The 20,664-nt window shown below is 52.9% G+C and overlaps 2 protein-coding genes and 1 long non-coding RNA gene across 8 annotated transcripts, besides 12 other annotated features; 1 reads left to right on the plus strand and 2 right to left on the minus strand.

Annotated features, from left to right (window-relative positions):
- Positions 1–44: 44 nt before the first annotated feature.
- On the minus strand, positions 45–5,023 carry ZNF296 (zinc finger protein 296). Its single transcript, NM_145288.3, has 3 exons — positions 4,621–5,023; positions 4,258–4,407; positions 45–1,125 (listed from the first exon to the last, which is right to left on the minus strand). Exons 1-3 carry the CDS (start codon positions 4,916–4,918, stop codon positions 146–148), a joined length of 1,428 nt encoding a protein of 475 aa, NP_660331.1. The 5' UTR covers positions 4,919–5,023; the 3' UTR covers positions 45–145.
- Positions 3,840–4,149: a silencer, noted in NCBI's record as "silent region_10750". NCBI's record gives its function as "represses an Ori minimal core promoter by ATAC-STARR-seq in GM12878 lymphoblastoid cells {active_cell/tissue: GM12878}" and the evidence as "EXISTENCE:reporter gene assay evidence [ECO:0000049][PMID:35858748]".
- GEMIN7 (gem nuclear organelle associated protein 7) lies at positions 4,172–20,063 on the plus strand. 6 transcript variants are annotated; one of them, NM_001319055.2, is made up of 3 exons: positions 4,172–4,367; positions 8,452–8,574; positions 18,652–20,063. In NM_001319055.2, exon 3 carries the CDS (start codon positions 18,660–18,662, stop codon positions 19,053–19,055), a length of 396 nt encoding a protein of 131 aa, NP_001305984.1. In that variant the 5' UTR covers positions 4,172–4,367; positions 8,452–8,574; positions 18,652–18,659; the 3' UTR covers positions 19,056–20,063. The 6 variants fall into 6 exon arrangements, with proteins under 6 accessions (NP_001305984.1, XP_005259320.1, NP_001305983.1 ...); NM_024707.3 differs by lacking the exon at positions 4,172–4,367 and adding an exon at positions 7,805–7,922; NM_001007270.2 differs by lacking the exon at positions 4,172–4,367 and adding an exon at positions 7,805–7,824.
- Positions 4,480–4,719: a silencer, noted in NCBI's record as "silent region_10751". NCBI's record gives its function as "represses an Ori minimal core promoter by ATAC-STARR-seq in GM12878 lymphoblastoid cells {active_cell/tissue: GM12878}" and the evidence as "EXISTENCE:reporter gene assay evidence [ECO:0000049][PMID:35858748]".
- Positions 4,810–5,219: a silencer, noted in NCBI's record as "silent region_10752". NCBI's record gives its function as "represses an Ori minimal core promoter by ATAC-STARR-seq in GM12878 lymphoblastoid cells {active_cell/tissue: GM12878}" and the evidence as "EXISTENCE:reporter gene assay evidence [ECO:0000049][PMID:35858748]".
- Positions 7,623–7,882: a silencer, noted in NCBI's record as "silent region_10753". NCBI's record gives its function as "represses an Ori minimal core promoter by ATAC-STARR-seq in GM12878 lymphoblastoid cells {active_cell/tissue: GM12878}" and the evidence as "EXISTENCE:reporter gene assay evidence [ECO:0000049][PMID:35858748]".
- Positions 8,052–8,819: an enhancer, noted in NCBI's record as "NANOG-H3K27ac hESC enhancer chr19:45582765-45583532 (GRCh37/hg19 assembly coordinates)". NCBI's record gives its function as "activates a minimal SCP1, AML or CMV promoter by ChIP-STARR-seq in primed H9 embryonic stem cells {active_cell/tissue: H9 hESC(primed)}" and the evidence as "EXISTENCE:reporter gene assay evidence [ECO:0000049][PMID:30033119]".
- Positions 9,588–10,353: an enhancer, noted in NCBI's record as "H3K27ac-H3K4me1 hESC enhancer chr19:45584301-45585066 (GRCh37/hg19 assembly coordinates)". NCBI's record gives its function as "activates a minimal SCP1, AML or CMV promoter by ChIP-STARR-seq in naive H9 embryonic stem cells {active_cell/tissue: H9 hESC(naive)}" and the evidence as "EXISTENCE:reporter gene assay evidence [ECO:0000049][PMID:30033119]".
- Positions 13,874–18,936, minus strand: GEMIN7-AS1 (GEMIN7 antisense RNA 1). Its single transcript, NR_134887.1, has 2 exons — positions 18,614–18,936; positions 13,874–14,185 (listed from the first exon to the last, which is right to left on the minus strand). It is a non-coding gene; the product is annotated as a GEMIN7 antisense RNA 1 (long non-coding RNA).
- Positions 18,221–18,394: a silencer, noted in NCBI's record as "fragment chr19:45592934-45593107 (GRCh37/hg19 assembly coordinates)". NCBI's record gives its function as "represses an EF-1alpha promoter that drives an FKBP-Casp9 reporter gene in an ReSE screen in K562 erythroleukemia cells {active_cell/tissue: K562}" and the evidence as "EXISTENCE:reporter gene assay evidence [ECO:0000049][PMID:32094911]".
- Positions 18,221–19,331: a biological region, named in NCBI's record as "H3K27ac-H3K4me1 hESC enhancer GRCh37_chr19:45593049-45594044".
- Positions 18,336–19,331: an enhancer, noted in NCBI's record as "H3K27ac-H3K4me1 hESC enhancer chr19:45593049-45594044 (GRCh37/hg19 assembly coordinates)". NCBI's record gives its function as "activates a minimal SCP1, AML or CMV promoter by ChIP-STARR-seq in primed H9 embryonic stem cells {active_cell/tissue: H9 hESC(primed)}" and the evidence as "EXISTENCE:reporter gene assay evidence [ECO:0000049][PMID:30033119]".
- Positions 19,332–20,326: an enhancer, noted in NCBI's record as "H3K27ac-H3K4me1 hESC enhancer chr19:45594045-45595039 (GRCh37/hg19 assembly coordinates)". NCBI's record gives its function as "activates a minimal SCP1, AML or CMV promoter by ChIP-STARR-seq in naive H9 embryonic stem cells {active_cell/tissue: H9 hESC(naive)}" and the evidence as "EXISTENCE:reporter gene assay evidence [ECO:0000049][PMID:30033119]".
- Positions 19,937–19,986: an enhancer, noted in NCBI's record as "active region_14779". NCBI's record gives its function as "activates an Ori minimal core promoter by ATAC-STARR-seq in GM12878 lymphoblastoid cells {active_cell/tissue: GM12878}" and the evidence as "EXISTENCE:reporter gene assay evidence [ECO:0000049][PMID:35858748]".
- Positions 20,095–20,279: a silencer, noted in NCBI's record as "fragment chr19:45594808-45594992 (GRCh37/hg19 assembly coordinates)". NCBI's record gives its function as "represses an EF-1alpha promoter that drives an FKBP-Casp9 reporter gene in an ReSE screen in HepG2 liver carcinoma cells {active_cell/tissue: HepG2}" and the evidence as "EXISTENCE:reporter gene assay evidence [ECO:0000049][PMID:32094911]".

Raw genomic sequence — 20,664 nt, forward strand, 5'->3', positions numbered from 1 at the left:
GCCCCACCTCATGCACCCCAAGAAAGCCAGAGTCCAGACGGGTGTAAATAAAAGGGAAAATTTACTTGGAGAAGGCGGGCAAAAACGAGGAGGTCAATGGGTGTTGGCAGCGGTACCAGGGACAGTGAGGGGGGCTTTCCTGGGCTCAGGCCTCGCCGGCCGCCTCAGGGTGCTTCTGCCGCAGGTGTTTGTCCAGGGTGGCTCGCAGGCCGAAGGGCACATGGCAGTGGGGGCACTCGAAGCGGGTGCTGCCAGGCGTCATGCCGTGCATGCGGCGGTGGCGGTTGAGCTTACTGCTCTGGGCGCAGGCGTAGTTGCAGAACTCACAGGTGTAGGGGCGCTCCCCGGTGTGTGAGCGCCGGTGCACCGTCAGGTTGCTGCTGTTGGTAAAATGCTTCCCGCAGAACTCACAGCTGCCCCCGGGCCCGCGGCTCTTGCCCCCTGACTTGGGCATCTTTTTGGGTGATGCCTTCTGGCTGTTTGCAGGGTCAGTTCTTTGTTCCGTGGTGATGGCTCCCCAAGTGTCTCCACCAGGGCCGGCTTGAGCCCCACTGCCAGGAGCCCCGGGTTCCTGGACACCTGCTGTGGCGGCGGCTCCAGCCCCCTCACCACCGCTGCATGGAAGGGTGCTGGTGGGGGCAGCAGCATGGACAGCCGGCTCCGGAGGGGCTGCAGAGGCCTGCTCCTGGCTGGTGTCGGCCATGAGGGGGCTCTGGGGCGGCACCTGCCGGTGGGTCTTCTTGTGGCGGTTGAGCTTGCTGCTCTGGGCGCAGGCGTAGGGACACTGGTCGCAAGCATAGGGCCGCTCGCCTGTGTGTGAGCGCATGTGCACTTTGAGGTTGCTGAAGGAGCTGAGGGTCTTCTTGCACACAGGACAGGTGGGGCTCCGCCGGGTGAGGCCGCTGCCACTTGCACGGGGGCTCTTGGCCTCAGCTGCTGGCCCCACCACTGCCGACACGGCTGCAGCCACCTCGGCCAGGCCCAGGAGCGGGGCCTCCGGGGCCTCTGATTCTGTCTGGTAGATGGACAGTCCGTGGTCCCACTGGGCGTGACGCAGCAGCTTCCAGGCCACTGTGAACTGTTTGCCACAGCGCAGGCAGCTCAAGGCCTTCAGCTCCTCTCGTTCTGGTAAGAAAAAGAGGCAGAGTGTTAGTGCGGACAGCTGCCAGCTGGACACCTTCTGTGGGATAGGCACTCCTGCAGGGGCAAAGGACTTGGCAGTAACAAGACACACACACCCTGGAAGGACCAGGAAGCTGACGCTCAGAGGAGGGGTGGACACGAAAAATCTGTGGAGTGGGTGCTAAGTACCTGAAAACATTTTTTTTTAGACAGTCTCACTGTCGCCCAGGCTGGGGTGCAGTGGCACGATCTCAGCTCACTGCAACCTCCACCTCCTGGATTCAAGCTATTCTCATGCCTCAGCCTCTAGAGTAGCTGGGATTACAGGCGCCCGCCACCATGCCTGGCTAATTAGTAGAGATGGGGGTTTCACCGTGTTGGCCAGGCTGGTCTCGAACTCTTGGCCTCAAGTGATCCACCCACCTCGGCCTCCCAAAGTGCTGGGATTATAGGCATGAGCCACTGTGCTGGGCCATGTGTTTGAAAATCTTTTAAAAAGTTATGTTAACTCAGTAAGCGCTTCCTACATGCTAGGTGCTGAGCCATGGCTCATAGCCCGGCTTTCCCTCAGGACAGGAAAATAAGATCTCCATTTTCCAGACAGGAGAACTGAGGCACAGAGAGGCATTTCCCCAGGGTTGCACAGCTTGGAAGGGGTGAAGCTGGGATTTCAATCCAGACTACTGGGGGAGGGGGAGAGGGCAGAACAGAGGCTTGCTTGCTTTTTTTTTTTTGCTTTAAATTTTTAATTTAGTATTTTTTAAAGAGATGGGGTCCTGCTATGTTGCCCAGGCTATTTTTTTTTTTTTTTGAGACGGAGCCTTGCTCTGTCGCCCAGGCTGCAGTGCAGTGGCGCGATCTCGGCTCACTGCAAGCTCTGCCTCCGGGGTTCACGCCATTCTCCTGCCTCAGCCACCACGCCACAGGGTTTCACCGTGTTAGCCAGGATGGTCGCGATCTCCTGACCTCATGATCTGCCCGCCTCAGCCTCCCAAAGTGCTGGGATTACAGGTTTGAGCCACCGCACCCGGCCGCCCAGGCTATTCTTTAACTTAATGGCCTCAAGTAATCCTTCCGCCTCAGCCCCTCAAAGTGCTGGGATTATAGGCGTGAGCCACCATACCTGGCTGGGAGCAGAGGCTTTTGAATAAGATTTTTGGTTTAGGCCGGGCACGGTGGCTCACACCTGTCATCCCAGCACTTTGGGAGGCTGAGGCGGGTTGATCTCTTGAGGTCAGGGATTTGAGACCAGCCTGGCCAACATGATGAAACCCTGTCTCTAGTAAAAATAAAAAATAGCCGGGTGTGGTGGTGCGCGCCTGTAATCCCGGCCACTTGGGAGGTTAAGGCAGGAGAATCGCTTGAACCCAGGAGGCGGAGGTTGCAGTGAGCCGAGATCCCACCACTGCACTCCAGCCTGGGTGACAAAAGCGAGACTCTGTTTCAAAAAAAAAAATTTTTTTTGGTTTAATAAAAATAATTTTTAAAGTAATTGAGATATCTGGGCATGGTGGCTCATGCCTGTAATCCCAGCACTTCAGGAGGCCAAGGCAGGTGGACCACCTGAGGTCAGGAGTTTGAGACACCAGCCTGGTCAACATGGTGAAACCCTGTCTCTACCAAAAATACAAAAATTAGCTGGCCATGGTGGTGCACGCCTGTAGTCCCAGCTACTTGGAGGGCTGAGGCAGGAGAATCACTTGAACCTGGGAGGCGGAGGTTGCAGTGAGCTGAGATTGCACCACAGCACTCCAGCCTGGGTGACAGAGTAAGACTCCACCTCAAAATAATGGGGTAGCTACAGAGAAAGCTTAGCGGCCACCTAGTAAAGAGGTGGTAGTGACCTGGGTCCCCCACCCTCTGCATGGATCTCAAATTGAGCCCCCAAACCTGAATTTGGATTTCTATCTGGACCTTCGGGGTACTCTCAGTGGACACTTCCTAGGTGAACTAGCCTTTCCATTTTTCAAATTCTAGAGTCTTGGATGGGACAACCTTTGTGATACAACCAGTCCTGGGTCAAGAGCACAGGCCTGCATTCAAATTCAGACTTCTCTGCTCCCTAATTGTGTGACCTTGGGCAAGACATAGTCCTCTGTGTGCCTCAGTTGCTAGAATTCAGGGACCCTAGAGATCCCCTCCCTTTCAAGGGTGGTTGTGACCTCGCTTGGGGAATGGTTGAGAGCTTTGGTCCACATAAGCGCTCAAACAGCAGAGCCTGTGAAACCAAGGTGCCCATGATTCTCCAAGCCCTGTAGTGTTTTGTTCCAGCGATTCCATCACAGCCCCTCGCTCGCTCCTCCAGGCCACTCTCCATGCTCCAGCTCTAAAGCTGATTCAATCAGTCACAAGCCCCTCCTCTTTCCCACCACCAGACCCTCCCTGGCCCAACCCTAAATAATTCCACTTCTCAAAAGTCTCAGAAGGGCAAGGGCCAGGGGGCTGGAAACTAGGTTTGGATTAAGCCCTGCAGCCAACACTGACCAAAAGCTCACCGAGGGTCAAGCCCCATGTGAAGGCTTTTAATTCCCTCCCAAGAGAAGGAACCCGGGTGTCCAGCACCCGGGAGCTCGCTCAAACCAGGGGATTCCCAGCACGCGGGGCTGGGAGATTCCATCACCGAGGGAAGCCAGAAGCCCCTTCCTTGGCTCTGAACACTCAGCTGTACTAGCACCTCAATCAGAATTGACAGAGAGAGACAGGAGGGGGTGGCAACCTCCCCATTCCAGCTGGCCTCCACTCCCCCTCCCCCCGGCCGCTGCCCTCCCTAGAGGTCCCCTCCTACTGCCACCCTGGTCCAGCCACCTGGCCAGTTATTTCTGGCCAAGGGGAAGGAGAAGTGAAACCAGGTTGGGGTGTGTGTTGGGGGGGGCAAAATCCCGGGCTAGTCTTCTGGGGCTGGCCACACCCTGTAGGCGGCCCTCCTTCCCTGCCCAGTCCCCCCCCGCCCCCCCTCCACCGCCACCACTGGTCCCTGCCCTAGGACGGGCAGGCCCTGGCCACGCCTAGGCTGCACCCGATGGGGAGCGAGAAAGGGGAAGTAGTGCTCAGTGCCCTGCCGTCCAGCCCAGCCCCTTTCCAGCAGGAAGCCCAGCCCTCGAACTTGAGAGGGGGACTGCACCCGGCTTTACTCACCTGAGCCCTGGCCGCGGCTGGGGCCTCTGAAGAGCTGACAGCCCAGCTTCTTGTGGTCCATGAAGGCAGTGATGGCCTCCAACGGGAAGGTCTGCAGGCAGCGGCCGCAGGTCAACAGATCTGGGTGTTTGTCGGTCCAGGGCTGGCGGTCTGCAGGGAGGAAGCGGGTGGTGAGCGTGGGGTGGGGCCAGGATGGGGGCTGAGGGTGCTGAAGGAGAGGGGAAACCGAAGGTCAGAAGGGGGCCTGAGGGGCAGGACGGGGCGAAGGAGATAAGGCAGGGCGAGGGGCCCATGCCCAAAGGGAAGGGTCCCACCCGAGGGTCAAAGGTAAGGGAGGCTGGGCCCAGGGCCCGGGGTGCTCACCGGGATAGTTCGGGGTCAACGGCGTCCACAGGGTCCACGGGTTCCGCGGGCCGAGGGCGAGGAGGGCGGCCCCGGCGGGCATGGGGCCAGGGGAGTGGTGGGGTTCGCCGCCGAACCGCCCCGCCGAGGACACCTCCTTCGGGGAGAAGGGCCCCAGCCTTGGGGCCTGTTGGGGCTGCGCGTCTGGCTCGGGCTTGAGTTCGATGACGAGGTCCTGCATTTCCATCTCGTCGTCTGGGTTGGCGGCGGGCGCGGGCTCTACTCGGCGGGGCGCGCTGCCGGCCTTGCGGCGGGACATGAGTCGCGGGCCGGGCGAGCGAGCGGGCGGGCAGGCAGGCAGGCGGGCGGGCGGAGGACGCACGAGCGGAGGACGCGCGGACCGTGCGCGCTCAGGTGAGTGACTGCGGCGACCCGCCGCGAACTCTTACACGTGCTGGCCGGGCCCGTGGCTCCGCCTACCAGGGCGGGGCTCATGGGAGGGGACCGAGCCGCCCTGCTGGGGCCCTGACGGCGGCCTAACTCAATCTAGGCAGTGTCCCGTGCGTTTGGCTTAGTGACCAAATTTAATCACACCGAGTTCCCACAAGGCATTGAAACAGCTATCCCTGATCCCGTTTTAGGGCGGGTGAAACTGAGACACGGCATGCCCACACGCACCCCCAAGCGAGAAAAATAGTCGGTCACGTTTCTTATTAGGTGCCTGATAGTAATCTGGGCTATTTCATTAAATGCATTACAATAAAAATTCATTTTGCAAGCATTCACTGAGTGCCTCCTGTGCGCCAGGCTCTGTTTGAAGCCCTGAGAATACAGGAGGGAATAAACAGAAGATAATCTTTGTTTGCACGGAGTTCAGACGGTGGGGGAAGACACTATAAACATAATTACGTAAAATATAGATGGCCCTTCATGATGACCAGTGCCATGGAGCAAAAGAAAGCTGGAAAGGCGGAGAGGGTTACTGGGGTTGAGGGATTCAATTTTCTCCCCTATGATGGGAAAGGGCATGGTGGAGCTGAGGCTGGAGGGAAGGAAGCCCAGCCAGTGGGCCTGGGCATTGAGGAATTACAAGGAAAGGGAGAGGCAATACGGGTTGGGGATTGAGTTCAGTGAAAATATGGGGGCAGATCCAAGCAATCTTTTGATCGCTTTAAGGTCTTTTGGTTTTCCTGAGACCGGAGCCTTAGGAGGGTTTTGAGCAGAGGAGGACTGTAATCATACACATCGACTCTGTTCCTAGACCAGAAGTCGCCATTAAAACCAAATAGCCAAGCAGCTCACCTGCCTCCACTCCGCCTCCTTGAACTTCCCTCCCCTAAGCAGTTCTGTCTGCTCACTGTTTGAAGTGGCATCGACACCCTGCCCCACCCTCAATCCCTGATGAGTATTCTTTTCTTCCTGGCACCGACTGCACGACAGTATAGAACGGCTTGTGGACTGTCCTCTCCCCCACCCAATGCAAGCCCCCTGAGGTCAGGGCAAGAACCTGTCCTCCCCCAGCTGTCCTCAGCCCAGATGCTGATTTCAGATGCTGATCTCTTGGAGTTCTGCACATTGTTATTCAGGTCTGGGTTCCATTGTCCTCCTGAGAGCAGAGGGCCCTGACCAACAGTATCTAAAGTAGCCCCACCCTGCTGAAGGCCTTGCAAATTACACTCCATGACCTCCATCTGTCCCCAGTTCCCTCTTGGATCTCACTTTCTCCATCTGTCAAAGGAGGTAGGGCAGGTTGGAACTAGAGGGTTATCTGAGGTGGTTTCTTCTTCACTGCCGCCTCCTCTGATCACCCTTTTTTTTTTTGTAATTTTTAATTTTTCAAAAAAAATTATTTTTAAATAGAGACAGGGACTCGCTTTGTTGCCCTGGTTGGTCTGAAACTCTTGGCTTGAAGCGCTCCTCCTGCTTCAGCATCCCAAAGTGCTGAGATTACAGGTGTGAGACACTGCACTCAGCCTCAGACCACCCAATTTTAAGTTCCATGGCAACCCAGCCACCCACTATCCCATTGCCCTTATTTTACTCTTTTTTTTTTTTTTTTTTTTTGAGATGGAGTTTCACTCTTGTTGCCCAGGCTGGAGTGCAGTGGCACGACCTCAGCTCACTGCAACCTCCGCCTCCCGGGTTCAAGTGATTCTCCTGCCTGAGCCTCCGGAGTAGCTGGGATTACAGATGCCCGGCTAATTTTTCTATTTTTAGTAGAGACAGGGTTTCACCATGTTGGCCAGGCTGGTCTCGAACTCCTGACCTCAGGTGATCCACCCGCCTCAGCCTCCCAAAGTGCTGGAATTACAGGCGTGAGCCACCGTGCCCGGCCTATTTTATTCTTTATACATCACTTTGATCAAACCCTGAAGGATCTTGTTTACATATTTGCTCATTTTACCCTATTCTGTCCCTTCTACCCCCACTAGAACGTAGGTTCTAGGAGGCAGGATGGGAGTCTGTCTTGTTCATAAATACAACCCCTACTCGTTCATAGTTAAGTCAACAAATATTTATTGCGCACCTACTATGTGTCTGATGATATTCTTTCAACAGATATTTGCAGAGCACCAAATTGTGTACCTGGCACTAGGCCTTGGTGATCTAGTGGAAAGCAAAGGCCCACAGGATCCCTGCGTAAAGAGGACCCCGCAAGGAGAAAGTGAATTCTGACTGGGCCTGGAATAGGGAGGTTCATATTCCCCATTCAAGGCCTCAGTTTCCCCCTTTGTAAAATGGGACTGCAGGGAGAGCTGGAGGACAAAATGACCGCCTCTGATCCAGCCCAGCTACTTTCTTAGTATGCGGCATCTGAAACCATGATCTCCAGGTTTCCTGTAGAGGAGCGGGGGTTCCCACTGGAAGCAAGGGGTTAGGAGTGGGTATGTGTAGGGGGATGGGGATGCAAAGACCGAGCTCTGCCCTTAACCCAGCAGGGAGGAAGTCTTCCCCTCTCTGAACCTCAGTTTCTTCCTGCCTAAAATGGGCATCCCAGACGCCCCCAACTCGCAGGCAGGAAGATCGGTCCCAAGTGCCCCGCAAAGCCGCGGGCCAGGTGGCGACCCGGGCTGTGCTGGCTTCCAAGCCTGCGAGCCAGCCCGCGACCACGTGGGGCAGTGGCGGCGGCGCGGGCGGAACCCAGGCTCCGCGGCTTGCGGCCTGCCCGGGCCTCTGCAGCGGGGGCGCCGGCGGAAGTGGGGACACCAGTAGCCGCGGACCTCGGTGAGTACAAGGTGGTGGGGGGTCGCCAGCAGGTTCCCTCTCCCCGGCCCCAGCTCTGGACGCTCACCCCAGTGCAACGCCCTGAGTGACGGAAAGAGGTAGGACCGCGCCTGCAGCGCCGGCTGGAGGGACGTTCTGGTCCCCAGACGCTCCTATCAGGGACTGTTTGATCCCGATCGCCGGCAGCGGGAATGCCCCACGCGGGTGGGGTGAGGAGAAGGGAGAAGGAGAAAAACTTCCCCTCCGGAAAATAATAAATGGCCACGATAACAGAAGCATCGGTGGCAGTCATCCCGCTTTACCTGGAGCGGAATCGCTCGCTCAGTCTGAGCCTGGAGGTGGGAAGAAGGTCCAGTCCGAACGCCCAGGGCGGTGTGGGGAGTGGACGCCTGGGGGCCGGGAGGACCTACTTAGTATAAGAAAAGGAGAGCAATGGGTGGTCAGGGCGGAATTGAAAGGAAACTGACCGGCCCCAGGGGAGAAGGGGAGGGGAGAGATTCTGTGCTTGGGGTTCTGACCCTCTCGGGTGGCCCCATTTAGCTAATTTGCATCAAGATTCAGCAGCCGATGATGTCTGTATGTGTGTGTGTGTCTGTGGACACGTCAACACCTTGGTTAATTAATTAGGTCTGGCGGCTTCTCTGTTGACAACTCAGCTGGTTCCACACCCTGGCAATTGTGAAGAGTTGGCCAAATGTTTGTCCACTGAGCTGATCTCCTCTCTGGAGCACCGGGGCCACCAGGAGGGAGGTCTGTGAAACCCCTGCCCCTGCCATTGACCTAAGTGTTGGGCTCTTGAATCTAACAGACTAGTTTTTCAAGTCGTGGGGGATGGGCTTGGGCATTTTTCCCTGAAACCTTCGGAAATCCTTGCCTTGGAGACTGAAAGGATAAAGGCCTCTGGGGCCAGGTCACCAGGGACAATGGATAACGCCTGCCTCTACCCTCCTGGGCACACCCTGTGTGATCTTTCTTAAACCAGTTTCTTATCAGGTCACACCTTGGCTCCACAGTCTGCCTTTCTACATGGGGCACGGGTGAGGACCAGAGTTTGCTCCCTCTTCCTCCACCCTCCAGCTTGCACCAAGGAAATGATTTTTTTTTTTTTTTTTTTGAAACAGAGTCTCACTCTGTGGCCCAGGCTGGGGTGCAGAGGCGTGATCTCCGCTCACTGCAACCTCCGTCTCCCTGGTTCAAGGGATTCTCCTGCCTCAGCCTCCTGCGTAGCTGGGATTACAGATGCGTGCCACCACATCCAGCTAATTTTTTTTGTATTTTTAGTAGAGATAGGGTTTCACCATGTTAGCCAGGCTGGTCTTAAACTCCTGACATCAGGTGATCTGCCTCCCTCAGTCTCCCAAAGTGCTGGGATTACAGGTGTGAACCACTGCACCCAGCCCGAGGAAAGATTTGACCTGCCAGCTTCACTGGCCACTTTACAAAAATGGGGATTGCATCAATATGACCAAATCTCCCTTGTTTTTTGTTTTTTTTTTTTTTTTTCCTGATGGAGAAAACAAGGCCCTATACTGGCCCTCCCTTAATTTCATTTTATCCAGGGATTTAACAGAATTCTTTGGCCACTCTAATCCTATCTAAGTCATTTAGTAAGTACTCACCCTAGAGACTAGGGGGTTTCTCTTGAAACTCAAGTGTTAATCTAGGCTCAGGAAAGACCCTGGGGGCTGGTGAGGCCTGACTAAATTGGAGTGACAGTGGTCAGAGAAAATAAAAAATGCAAGTAGGGCGTGTTGGCGTGGGCCTGTAATCCCAGCTTCTCGGAAGGCTGAGGTGGGAGGATATCTTGAGTCCAGGAGTTCAAGATTAGCGTGGGCAATACAGCGAGACCTCACCTCAAAGTAAATAAATAAGTAAATGTGCTTTTTAAAAAATTAGAAAATGCAAGGCCGGGCACGGTGGCTCATGCCTGTAATCCCAGCACTTTGGGAGGCTGAAGCAGGCAGATCAGGAGTTTGAGACCAGCCTGGCCAACGTGGCCAAACCGCGTCTCTACTAAAAATACAAAATTAGCCATGTGCAGTGGTGCGCGCCTGTAGTCCTAGTTACTTGGGAGGCTGAGGCAGGAGAATTGCTTGAACCCGGGAGGCGGAGGTTGCAGTGAGTTGAGATCATGCCACTGTACTCCAGCCTGGGCGACAAGAGTGAGACTCCGTCTTAAAAAAAAAAAAAAAATTAGAAAATGCAACTATCCCTTAATTCCATTCACGTGGTCTTCCCTGTCAGGAAAAAAAAAAAAAACCTTGGAGTCTCCCTTGGCTGCTCTTTCCCTCAAATTATATATCCCTTATCCTGTCCATCACCGAGGGCTCTTGACCTTTCTTTTTTTGTTTGTTTTTGTTGTTTTGAGATGGAGTCTCACTCTGTCATCCATGCTGGAATGCAATGGCACGATCTCCGCTCACTTCAACCTCCGCTTCCCGGGTTCAAGCGATTCTTCTGCCTCAGCCTCCCGAGTAGCTGGGATTACAGGCACGCACCACCACACCCAGCTAACTTTTGTATTTTTAGTAGAGAGAGGTTTCACCATGTTGACCAGGCTGGTCTCATCCTGACCTCAGGCGATCTACCCACCTCAGCCTTCAAAAGTGCTGGGATTACAGGCGTGACCTACTGCGCCCAGCCTCGACCTTTCAAACATAGCCTAATCTGACCACTTCTCCCCATTCCCATTGTCCCCAGCCCATACTAGACGCCATCTTCTTCCACCTGGACCACTACAGTGACCTCCTCATTGCGTTCCTAGTGTCTCCCTTCAATCTCGTTTATTGTCCATGCAGCAGGCAGAGGATCCTGAGGACCTTAAGCCAGATTCTGCCCATCCTTCACTCAGAACTGTCCAGTGGCTTCAGTCTCAGAGTAGAGACCCAAATTGTCATCACAGCCCACAAGGCACTCTCTCTGTCCCTGCCCCCACCTCCTCCACACTGGCCTTGCTACGCCCCAAAGCCACCCTTTCCATGATCTTTGCATTTTGCTCTTCCTTCTGACTGGAATCTCCACATGGCTCCATTCCTAATTTCATTCAGGTCTATGCTCAAACGTAATCTTATCATAGGGATCTTTCCTGGGCTCCCTTGAAACTACCCTCTATCCCCCAGGCTGGGTCAGGTGTCTCCTCTGGACTCCTTCATTCCAGCCCTACTCACTTTGGGTCATCACTGCCTAAGGACAGGTCTGTGTCCCCTATTGGACTGTGAGCCCACAAAGGCGGAACTGGGCTCTCAGTCCTAGACGTGTTTCCAAGACCGCCCAATGTGGGTCATGCACAGAGCAGGCACTCAGATGATGTGCTAACAATGCTAGATAATGTGGATGAGTGAATTTTTTTTTTTTTGAGACAGGGTCTCATACTCTGTCACCCAGGCTGGAGTACAGTGGCACAGTTATGGCTCACTGCAGCCTCCACCTACCAGGCTCAAGCGATCCCCTCACCTCGGTCTCCTTAGTAGCTGGGACTCTAGTCGCACACTACCCATGCCCAGCTAATTTTTTTTTTTTTTTGTAGAGATGGGGTTTTGCTATATTGCTCAGGCTGGTCTTGAACTCCTACGCTAAAGCAATTCTCCAGCCTCAGTCTCCCAAGGTGCTGGGATTATAGTTGTGAGCCACCGCACCTGGCTAGAAAACTTTTCTTTGGTGCATAAAAATGATATAAAATTCAAATTTCAGTGTCCCAGTAAGTAAGGTTTTGTTGGAGAACAGCCATGTTCATTTGTTTCCATATTGTCTATGGCTGCTGTTGTGCTACTGTGGCAGAGTTGAGCAGTGACAGTAAAATACTTACAGAGAAGGTTCGCAGACCTCTGCTACGTATTTTGCCAAGAAGAAAAATAAAATAAAGTTAAAATTGAAAATATGTTGCCCGCTGGGCGCGGTAGCTCACGCCTGTAATCCCGGCACTTTGGGAAGCTGAACTGGGGGTGGGTCACCTGAGACCAGGAGATGTAGACCAGCCTGGCCAACATGGTGAAACCCTGTCTCTACTAAAATACAAAAATTAGCCAGGCATGGTGGCGCGCACCTGTAATCCCAGCTACTCAGGAGGCTGAGGCAGGAGAATTGCTTGAACCCAGGAGGCAGAGGTTGCAATGAGCCAAGATTGCACCACTGCACTCCAGCCTGGGGGATAGAGTGAGACTCCATCCCCAAAACAATTTTGCCAAGGAGGATTCTATTTGGGCCACCTATGGGCATGTGAGATCAGTAAGATTTGGCAGCTAATTATGCAGAGTGGGTGATGAGGTTTAGATGCCTCCCAGGGAGAGCTCTTTTTCACATTTTCTTTTCCAATTCTTCTTCTTTTTTTTTTTTTTTTTGTTTGAGACAGGGTCTCACTCTTCCCAGGCTGGAGTGCAGTGGTGCAATCACATCTCACTGCAGCCTCAGCCTCCTCCGGCTCACTAGATCTTCCCACCTCAGCCTCCTGAGTAGCTGGGACTACAGGAGCGCACCCTTTGCCCAGCTAATTTTTCTATTTTTCTGGAGACGAGATTTTGCTATGTTGCCCAAGCTGGTCTCAAATTCCTGGGCTCAAGTGATCCACCTGCCTCAGCCTCCCAAAGTTCTGGAATTACAGGTGTGAGCCACCTCGTGCCCAGCTGCTTCTTGCTTTCTGAAATTAAAATTTAGGCCGGGCACGGTGGCTCACGCCTGTAATACTAGCACTTTGGGAGGCCAAGGCGGGTGGATCACCTGAGGTAAGGAGTTCAAGACCAGCCTGGCCAACATGGGGAAACCCCGTCTCTACTGAAAATAAAAATATCAGCTGGGCGTGGTCGCGGGCACCTGTAATCCCAGCTACTTGGGAGGCTGAGTGACGAGAATCGCTTGAACCCGGGAGGCGGACGTTGTAGTGAGCCAAGATCGCGCCACTGCACTCCTGCCTGGGCGACAAGAGCGAGACTCCATCTCACAAAAAAAAAAAAAAAAAAAAGAAATTAAAATTTAGTGGCTGGGCATGGTGGCTTAGACCTGTAATCCCAGCACTTTGGGAGGCTGAGGCAAGAGGATCACTTGAGCCCAGGTTGGAGACCAGCCTGGGCAATATAGTGCGACTTCATCTCTATAAAATAAAATAAAATTAATTAATTAAAAATTTTATTTATTTATTTATTTATTTTGAGACAGAGTCTCGCTGTGTTGTCCAGGCTGGAGTGCAGTGGCATGACCTCAGCTCACTGCAGCCTCTGGCTCACGGGTTCAAGCGATTCTTATGCCTCAGCCTCCTGAGTAGTTGGGATTACAGGTGTGTGCCACCATGCCTGGCTAATTTTTGGGGCGTTTGTTTGTTTTTGAGATGGAGTCCCAGTCTGTCACCCAGACTGGAGTGCAGTGGCACAATATCTCAGCTCACTGCAACCTCTGCCTCCCGGGTTCAAGAGAGTCTCCTGCCTCAGCCTCCTGAGTAGGCGGGATTACAGGAGCCTGCCACCATGCCCAGCCCAGCTAATTTTATTTATTTATTTATTTTTTGAGACAGAGTTTCACTCTTGTTGCCTAGGCTGGAGCGCAATGGCGCAGTCTCGGCTCACCACAACCTCTGCCTCCTGAGTTCAAGTGATTCTCCTGCTTCAGCCTTCCAAGTAGCTGGGATTACAGGCATGCACCACCACTAATTACAGAAATGCACCATCAGGCTAATTTTGTATTTTTAGTAGAGGCAGGGTCTCTCCATGTTGGTCAGGCTGGTCTCGAACTCCTGACCTCAGGTGATCCGCCCACCTCGGCCTCTCAAAGTGCTGGAATTACAGGCGTGAGCCACAGTGCCCGGCCAACACCCGGCTAATTTTTGTATTTCTTAGTACAGACAGGGTTTCACCGTGTTGACCAGGTTGGTCTCAAACTCCTGACCTCAGGTGATCCGCCTGCCTCGGCCTCCCAAAGTTCTGGGTTTACAGGCGGGAGCCACTGTGCCCAGCCTATGTTCATGTCTTCTATAGCCATCTTTATTCCTTCCTCCCTCTTTGTGACCTGTTTGTCTGCATCAGTGTTTCATTTGGGGCCATCAGGAGACGTTTGGCAATTCATGGAGACTTTAAAAAAAAACTGTATTGAGATGCAATTCACATTCACCAATTCACTGTTCACCAGTGGTGACATTTTTGGCTGTCACAACTTGAAGATGGGATGCTACTGGCATCTATTAATAGGAGGCAGAGGCTAGGATGCTGCTCAAACCCTACACCTATGCGTTGGACAGCCCCCACAACATAGCAGATAATTATCCAGCCCCAAATGTCAATAGTGTCCAGACTGAGTAGCCCTGGTTCACATCCTTGGTCTATCTGCAGGGTCCTGTCTTGCAAGGGGCTCACAGTTCAGGTGCAGAGACAGGAAGAGCCTAATAAGAAAAAGGACAAGTTAGTCCAGGCACAGTGGCTCACGCCTGTAATCCCACCACTTTGGGAGGCTGAGATGGGGGGGATCACTTGCGGTCAGGAGTTCGAGACCAGCCTGACCAACATGGTGAAACCCCGTCTCTACTAAAAATACAAAAAGTAGCTGGGCATGGTGGTGTGTGTCTGTAGTCGCAGCTTCTCGGGAGACTGAGGCACAAGAATCTCTTTTTTTTTTTTTTTTTTTTTTGAGACGGAGTCTCGCTCTGTCGCCCAGGCTGGAGTGCAGTGGCGTGGTCTCGGCTCACTGCAAGCTCCGCCTCCCGGGTTCACGCCATTCTCCTGCCTCAGCCTCCCGAGTAGCTGGGACTACAGGCGACTGCCACCACGCCCGGCTAATTTTTTGTATTTTTAATAGAGATGGGGTTTCACCTTGTTAGCCAGGATGGTCTCGATCTCCTGACCTCGTGATCCGCCTGCCTTGGCCTCCCAAAGTGCTGGTATTACAGGCGTGAGCCACCACGCCCGGCCACACAAGAATCTCTTGAACCTGGGAGGCGGAGGTTGCAGTGAGCCGAGGTGGCACCACTGCACTCCGGCCTGGGTGACAGAGTGAGACTCTGTCTCCAAAAAAGGAAAAAAAAGAAACAGGACAATTTCAATCACCTCCCTTCTGTGCCTGGCCCCAGGGTCTTGGGTACCCAACACTTGTCACTCAGCTCAGTTAGTCCTCACTAGGTTTAGAGAGGAGAGGACCAAGCCACAGGGAGTGGTGCAGCTGCTAAAACCTAGGTCCTCCTCTCTCAGGTCTGCACCCACAAGGCCAGCATTTCCCTATACACATTCAACATCATAGCATAGCGCTTCATATGTCCCAGACATGTGCCAAACATGGTAGGTTAGTTAGGTAATTTAGTCCCCATGCCCGCCCTGTGAGTTAGGGCTCTGTTTTACAGATGGGGAAACAGAGGCACAGATTAGTCAAGCCATTTACCCCAGGTCACACAGCAATACTAACAATAAGAGCAGTTCACTATTATGGAGAACCTAGAATGTGCCAGGCCCTGTCTGGCAGGAGCCTGTTGAATCCTGATAACAGCATAGGCAGCAATTGGGGCTATTTTTCCATACAATGGAAGAGAAAACTGTCTCTTACTGATGTCACACAGCTAAACCGGCCTGGGATCTCCACTCTTCATTCATTTTGTTTTTTGTTTGTTTGTTTTTTTCGAGATGAGTCTTGCTCTGTCGCCCAGGCTGGAGTGCAGTGGCGAGATCTCCGCTTACTGCAACCCCTGCCTCCCTGGTGCAAGCGATTCTCCTGCCTCAGCCTCATGAGTAGCTGGGATTACAGGCACGTGCCACCATGCCCAGCTAATTTTTGTATTCTTAGTAGAGACGGGGTTTCACCATGTTGATCAGGCTGGTCTTGAACTCTTGATCTCGTGATCCACCTGCTTTGGCCTCCCAAAGTGCTGGGATTACAGGCGTGAGCCACCGCGCCCAGCCAATGTTTGTTTGTTTTTGAGATAGAGTATTGCTCTGTTGCCCAGGCTGGAGTACAGTGGCACAATCTCTGCTCACTGCAACCTCTGCCTCCCAGGTTCAAGTGATTCTCATGCCTCAGGCTCCCCAAGTAGCTGGGATTACAGGCACGCACCACCACGTCCGGCTGATTTTTGTATTTTAGTACAGACGGGGTTTTACTATGTTGGCCAGGCTGCTCTCGAACTCCTGACCTCTAGTGATCCTCCAGCCTCAGCCCCTAAAGTGCTAGGATTATAGGCATGCGCCGCCATGCCCAGCTCATTCATGAATTCTCATTGGTCTCTATGGCAGGCAGTTTCTGGGGGCTGGAGATCCAGCAGTGGGAAAAGCAAGGTGGCCACCTTGAAACTCACGGAGGGAAAGGAGATACAGGCAGATACAGGGAACCGAAAGTGCAAGAGCCCAAGAAGGGATTGCCAGGCATCGCGCCTGAGGATCAGCGAGGAGGCCTGTGTGGCTGGGGTGGGGAGAGCAAGCGTGGTACACCACGAGGGTGCCGGCAGGATCCAGAGCTAAGACAGAAGCCACAAGAGGGCTCCGAGCAGAGGAGGGATATGATCTGACTCAGGCATTAACAGGGTGTTGGGGTGCAGACGGCGGGGGGTGAAGGTGGAAGCCAGGGACCCAGTGAGGAGTTGACTACAGTACTCCAGGCAGGAAGTGTCTGTGGCTGCAGCAGGATGCTGGCAGTGGAGGAGGTGAGAAGTGTTAGGTTGTGAATAAATAAATATGTGTGTGTGTGTATATATAGATATATAATTTTTTTTTTTTTTTTTTTTTGAGACAGAGTCTTGCTCTGTCGCCCAGGCTGGAGTACTGTGGCACAATCTCGGCTCACTGCAACCTCTGCTTCCCAAGTTCAAGTGACTCTCCTGCCTCGGCCTCCTGAGTAGCTGGGATTACAGGTGCCCGCCACGATGCTTGGCTAATTTTTGTATTTTTCGTAGAGACGGGGTTTCACCATGTTGGCCAGGCTGGTCTCGAACTCCTGACCTCAAGTGATCTGCCCACCTCGGCCTCCCAAAGTGCTGGGATTACAGGTGTGAGCCACTGCTCCCAGCCTTATACAATTTTTTTCTCAGCCTTTCTTTGTCTTTTATGACTTTAATATTTTTGAAGAGCCCAGGTTAGTTGTGCTGTTTTTGTTTTTGTTTTTTCTAAGACAAAGTCTCACTCTTGCCCAGGCGTGGAGTGCAGTGGCGCGATCATAGCTCACTGCAGCTTCAACCTTCCAGGGCTCCAGTGATTCTCTTACCTCAGTCTTCTGAGTAGCTGGGACTTCCACGAGTACATTGTCAAGCCTGGCTAATGTTTTTTATTTTTAGTAGAGACGAGGTCTTACCATGTTGCCCAGGCTGCTCTTGAACTCCTGAACGCAAGCAATCCTCTCACCTTGGCCTCCTGAGGTGCTGGGATTATAGGCATGAGCCACCATGCCTATCCCTGTTGTCCTTGTTTGGCCCAGAGGCTGGAAGATCACTTGAGGCCAGAAGTTCAAGACCAGCCTCGGCAACATAGTGAGACCCTGTCTCTTTAAAATTTAAAAAAAAAAGAAAAGGAATAGCACAGAAGTGGTGCCCTGCCTTCTTAGTGTCCCATTCCTGGAGATGTTGGCTTTGATCACTAAGTTAAGGGGGTGCATACCAGGTTCCTCCAGTATAAATTTGTGTTTGCCCTTTACAGTGAATGAATATCTTATAAGTCTGTTAAGACTATGTAGATACCTTATACTTCATCAAACTCCCATCCATGCTTTTTTTTTTTTTTCTTTTTTTTGACACAGAGTCTCACTCTGTCGCCCAGGCTAGAGTGCTGTGGTGCGATCTCTGCTCACTGCAGCCTCCGCCTTTTGGGTTCAAATGATTCTCCTGCCTTAACCTCCCGAGTAGCTGGGACTACAGGCGCATGACACCACACCCGGCTAATTTTTGTATTTTTGGTAGAGGCGGGGTTTCGCCATGTTGACCAGGCTGGTCTCGAATTCCTGACCTCAAGTGATTCGCCCACCTTGGCCTCCCAAAGTGTTGGGATTACAGGTGTGAGCCACCGCACCCGGCCCTATCCACACATTTTTGCATCTATTCCTTTTATATTTATTTACTTGCCAGTCTACAGTAAGGATTATATTTTCCTTCTCTTCCTTATTTATTCATTTATTTATTATTGGTATGGATTCTGGATTTCTGTTTTATCCAGTGGGTTATAATCTGTAACTATCATTATTGTATTGTTCAAATAATTCCAGATTTGGCCACTGGGAGCCCTTTCAAGCTAGCTCATGTGTGAGTGGGAATCTATCTAGAAGATAGAATTTCCTGATGGATTGGGTGGGTTGTGTGTGAGAGAAAGCTGGGGTTTATTCTTTTTTTTAGAGACAGTGTCTCACTCTGTCACCCAAGCTGGAGTGCAGTTGCACAATTACAGCTCACTGCAGCCTCCATCTCCTGGGCTCAACTAATCCTTCTCCCTCAGCCTCCTGAGTAGCCCAGCTAATGTAAAATATATATATATATTTTTAGAAATGGGGTCTCGCTATATTGCCCAGGCTGGTCTCAAACTCCCAGCTTCAAAGTGATCCTCCTGCCTTGGCCTCCCAAAGGGCTGGGATTACAGGCATGAGCCACCATGCCTGGCCAGGTTCATCTTTTGGCAAATATTTATTGCCTATAAGTTGAGATAAAAACATTATAAAAGCAGACAAAGGTCCTTGCCTTCACGGGGCTCATGTTTTTGTGCATGTGACACTTTTGTTTCTGATCCAAGCCATTGGGGGACGATGGCACAGATTTTAGGAGGGTGGATCAGTCTGGGGCAGGTGCAGTGGAGCTGCCTGGTAGACCAGCCTCTGCTTCCACTCCTCCCTCCTCCATTAGCCCCATGCTTACCATGTAATGACTTCCTGCTCTTTTTCTTCACTCAACAGCCAAGACAATGCAAACTCCAGTGAACATTCCCGTGCCTGTGCTCCGGCTGCCCCGGGGCCCTGATGGCTTCAGCCGTGGCTTTGCCCCTGATGGACGCAGAGCCCCCTTGAGGCCAGAGGTTCCTGAAATCCAGGAGTGTCCCATAGCTCAAGAATCCCTGGAATCCCAGGAGCAGCGGGCACGAGCCGCCCTTCGGGAGCGTTACCTCCGCAGCCTGCTGGCCATGGTGGGTCATCAGGTGAGCTTCACGTTGCACGAGGGTGTGCGTGTGGCCGCCCACTTTGGAGCCACCGACCTGGATGTGGCCAACTTCTACGTGTCACAGCTGCAGACTCCCATAGGTGTGCAAGCAGAGGCGCTGCTCCGATGTAGTGACATTATTTCATATACCTTCAAGCCATAAAGATATTGTGTTCACTTTTCTGCTTGAGGCTAAGGCACTGTATCCCAGGCCTCCCAATGTTCCCGAGCCAGGAACTCTGGGCCCCATGGAGTTATGAGCTCCCTTGGAATTTTGAGCCAAGCTTTAAGCAAGTCTGGACTCCTGAGACCTCCTGGGTCTAGTCAGTAAAATTCTGCAACTCTAGGAATTCTAAGATCCCATTGGAAGGAATGCTCTACCTCACAGAACTCTGAACCCTACAGAAATATGGGCCTGCTGCCATTTCCTGAAGACCGGGGCATCGGGGTGGGGTGATAAAGGATACAACCTGCACAGGGGGAAGTTATTAAAGAGGCTGCAAAGTCCAGCCACCCTGAAGATACTCCCCAGTGCTCCCCTCCTGCTAAAGAACCAGTTACCCCAGGAAAATTCGACTCCTGTTTTTCTTTAATTAACTATACCGACGGGGATGGAGTCATCTTTAGGGGCTGGTAGGGTGGTTATCCAAGGGCTGAATCCAGTGGAGCTGGGCCAAGTACGACAGGAGTCCAGATAAAGGTGTAGGGGCTGCACGGCCGCAAGTCTCCTGGAAAGGCTGGAGTGACCGGCATGCCGGGATTGGGAGATTAGGATTTGATTTCATTTTGGGGCGGGCGGTGGCTCGTGCTGGGTCACGTGGTCGTGCCCAAGCGCTCCTCCTGTTGCCCCACCTGTGGTTGCTGTGGACTGCACACGACAGCAGATTCGCTGTCCCCTCGTTGGAGGCGAATGGTCGGACCCCGAGTGGCGGCGCCCCTGATAAAAGGCCGAGGATTCGCGATCAGGGTGCAACTTCACTCCCTCCTCTTTTCTCTCCAGCCTTGCAGCGTGGCCGTTCACATCACGCGCTTCACTAAGCCTCCTATCACTAGTAACCTTTCAGCGCATTGTTTAAAAAGAAAGCAGTTTCTGTCCCTTTCTGTAGTTCCTTTAAGTTCAGGATGTAAGCGAAGCCTTCCATTAAGTAAAGGTGAGTGTCGTTTCGTCTCAGTCGCGAAAGTGCGGCGGCCGATGATGAACCGCGCCAGGAGCAGCCTCAGCGGCCATCAGTCCATTCGCAGCGCCGGCTCCGCCGAGGCCCGGACTTAGCTCTCGAGTTGCCTTGGCGACGACGCAGCTCGCTCCGCCCCAGTTCCCTTTTATGGTTTCAGCCCCGCCTCCTCTAGTTAGCCGGGTGCGCTTCGGCAAGCGTGGCGAAAGTGCGGCGGCGAATGTCAAGCGTTGGGTCTGAGCCTAGGGGTGTGGCTTGAGCTCACGCTGGTTCTTTCTTGCCTCGGTGATCCACCAGCCTTGTCACCCAGGATTTAGGTTGGCAGATTCGTCTCTCGCCTTTGGAATTTCTACCTTCTCCTAGGTTTTGTTTTTTAAAATCAGGCCTATGATACCGCTCATGGGCTCATATTTATTTTAGCATTGTAATTTAAGTTGTATTTTATGCAACTCTACCCCGATACAGAGAGCTGTTGATGTAACTGCAGCGAGCAAATGGAGGACTAGAGACTAGCGAAGGGGCCGAGACTTCGTCTCCAGAGTATCCCTGTCAGCATCCATCAACTGCACTCATATATTGAATGCAGCTCCTATCCGCCTT

Source organism: Homo sapiens, chromosome 19 (assembly GCF_000001405.40).
Source record: "Homo sapiens chromosome 19, GRCh38.p14 Primary Assembly".
NCBI lineage: Eukaryota > Metazoa > Chordata > Mammalia > Primates > Hominidae > Homo > Homo sapiens.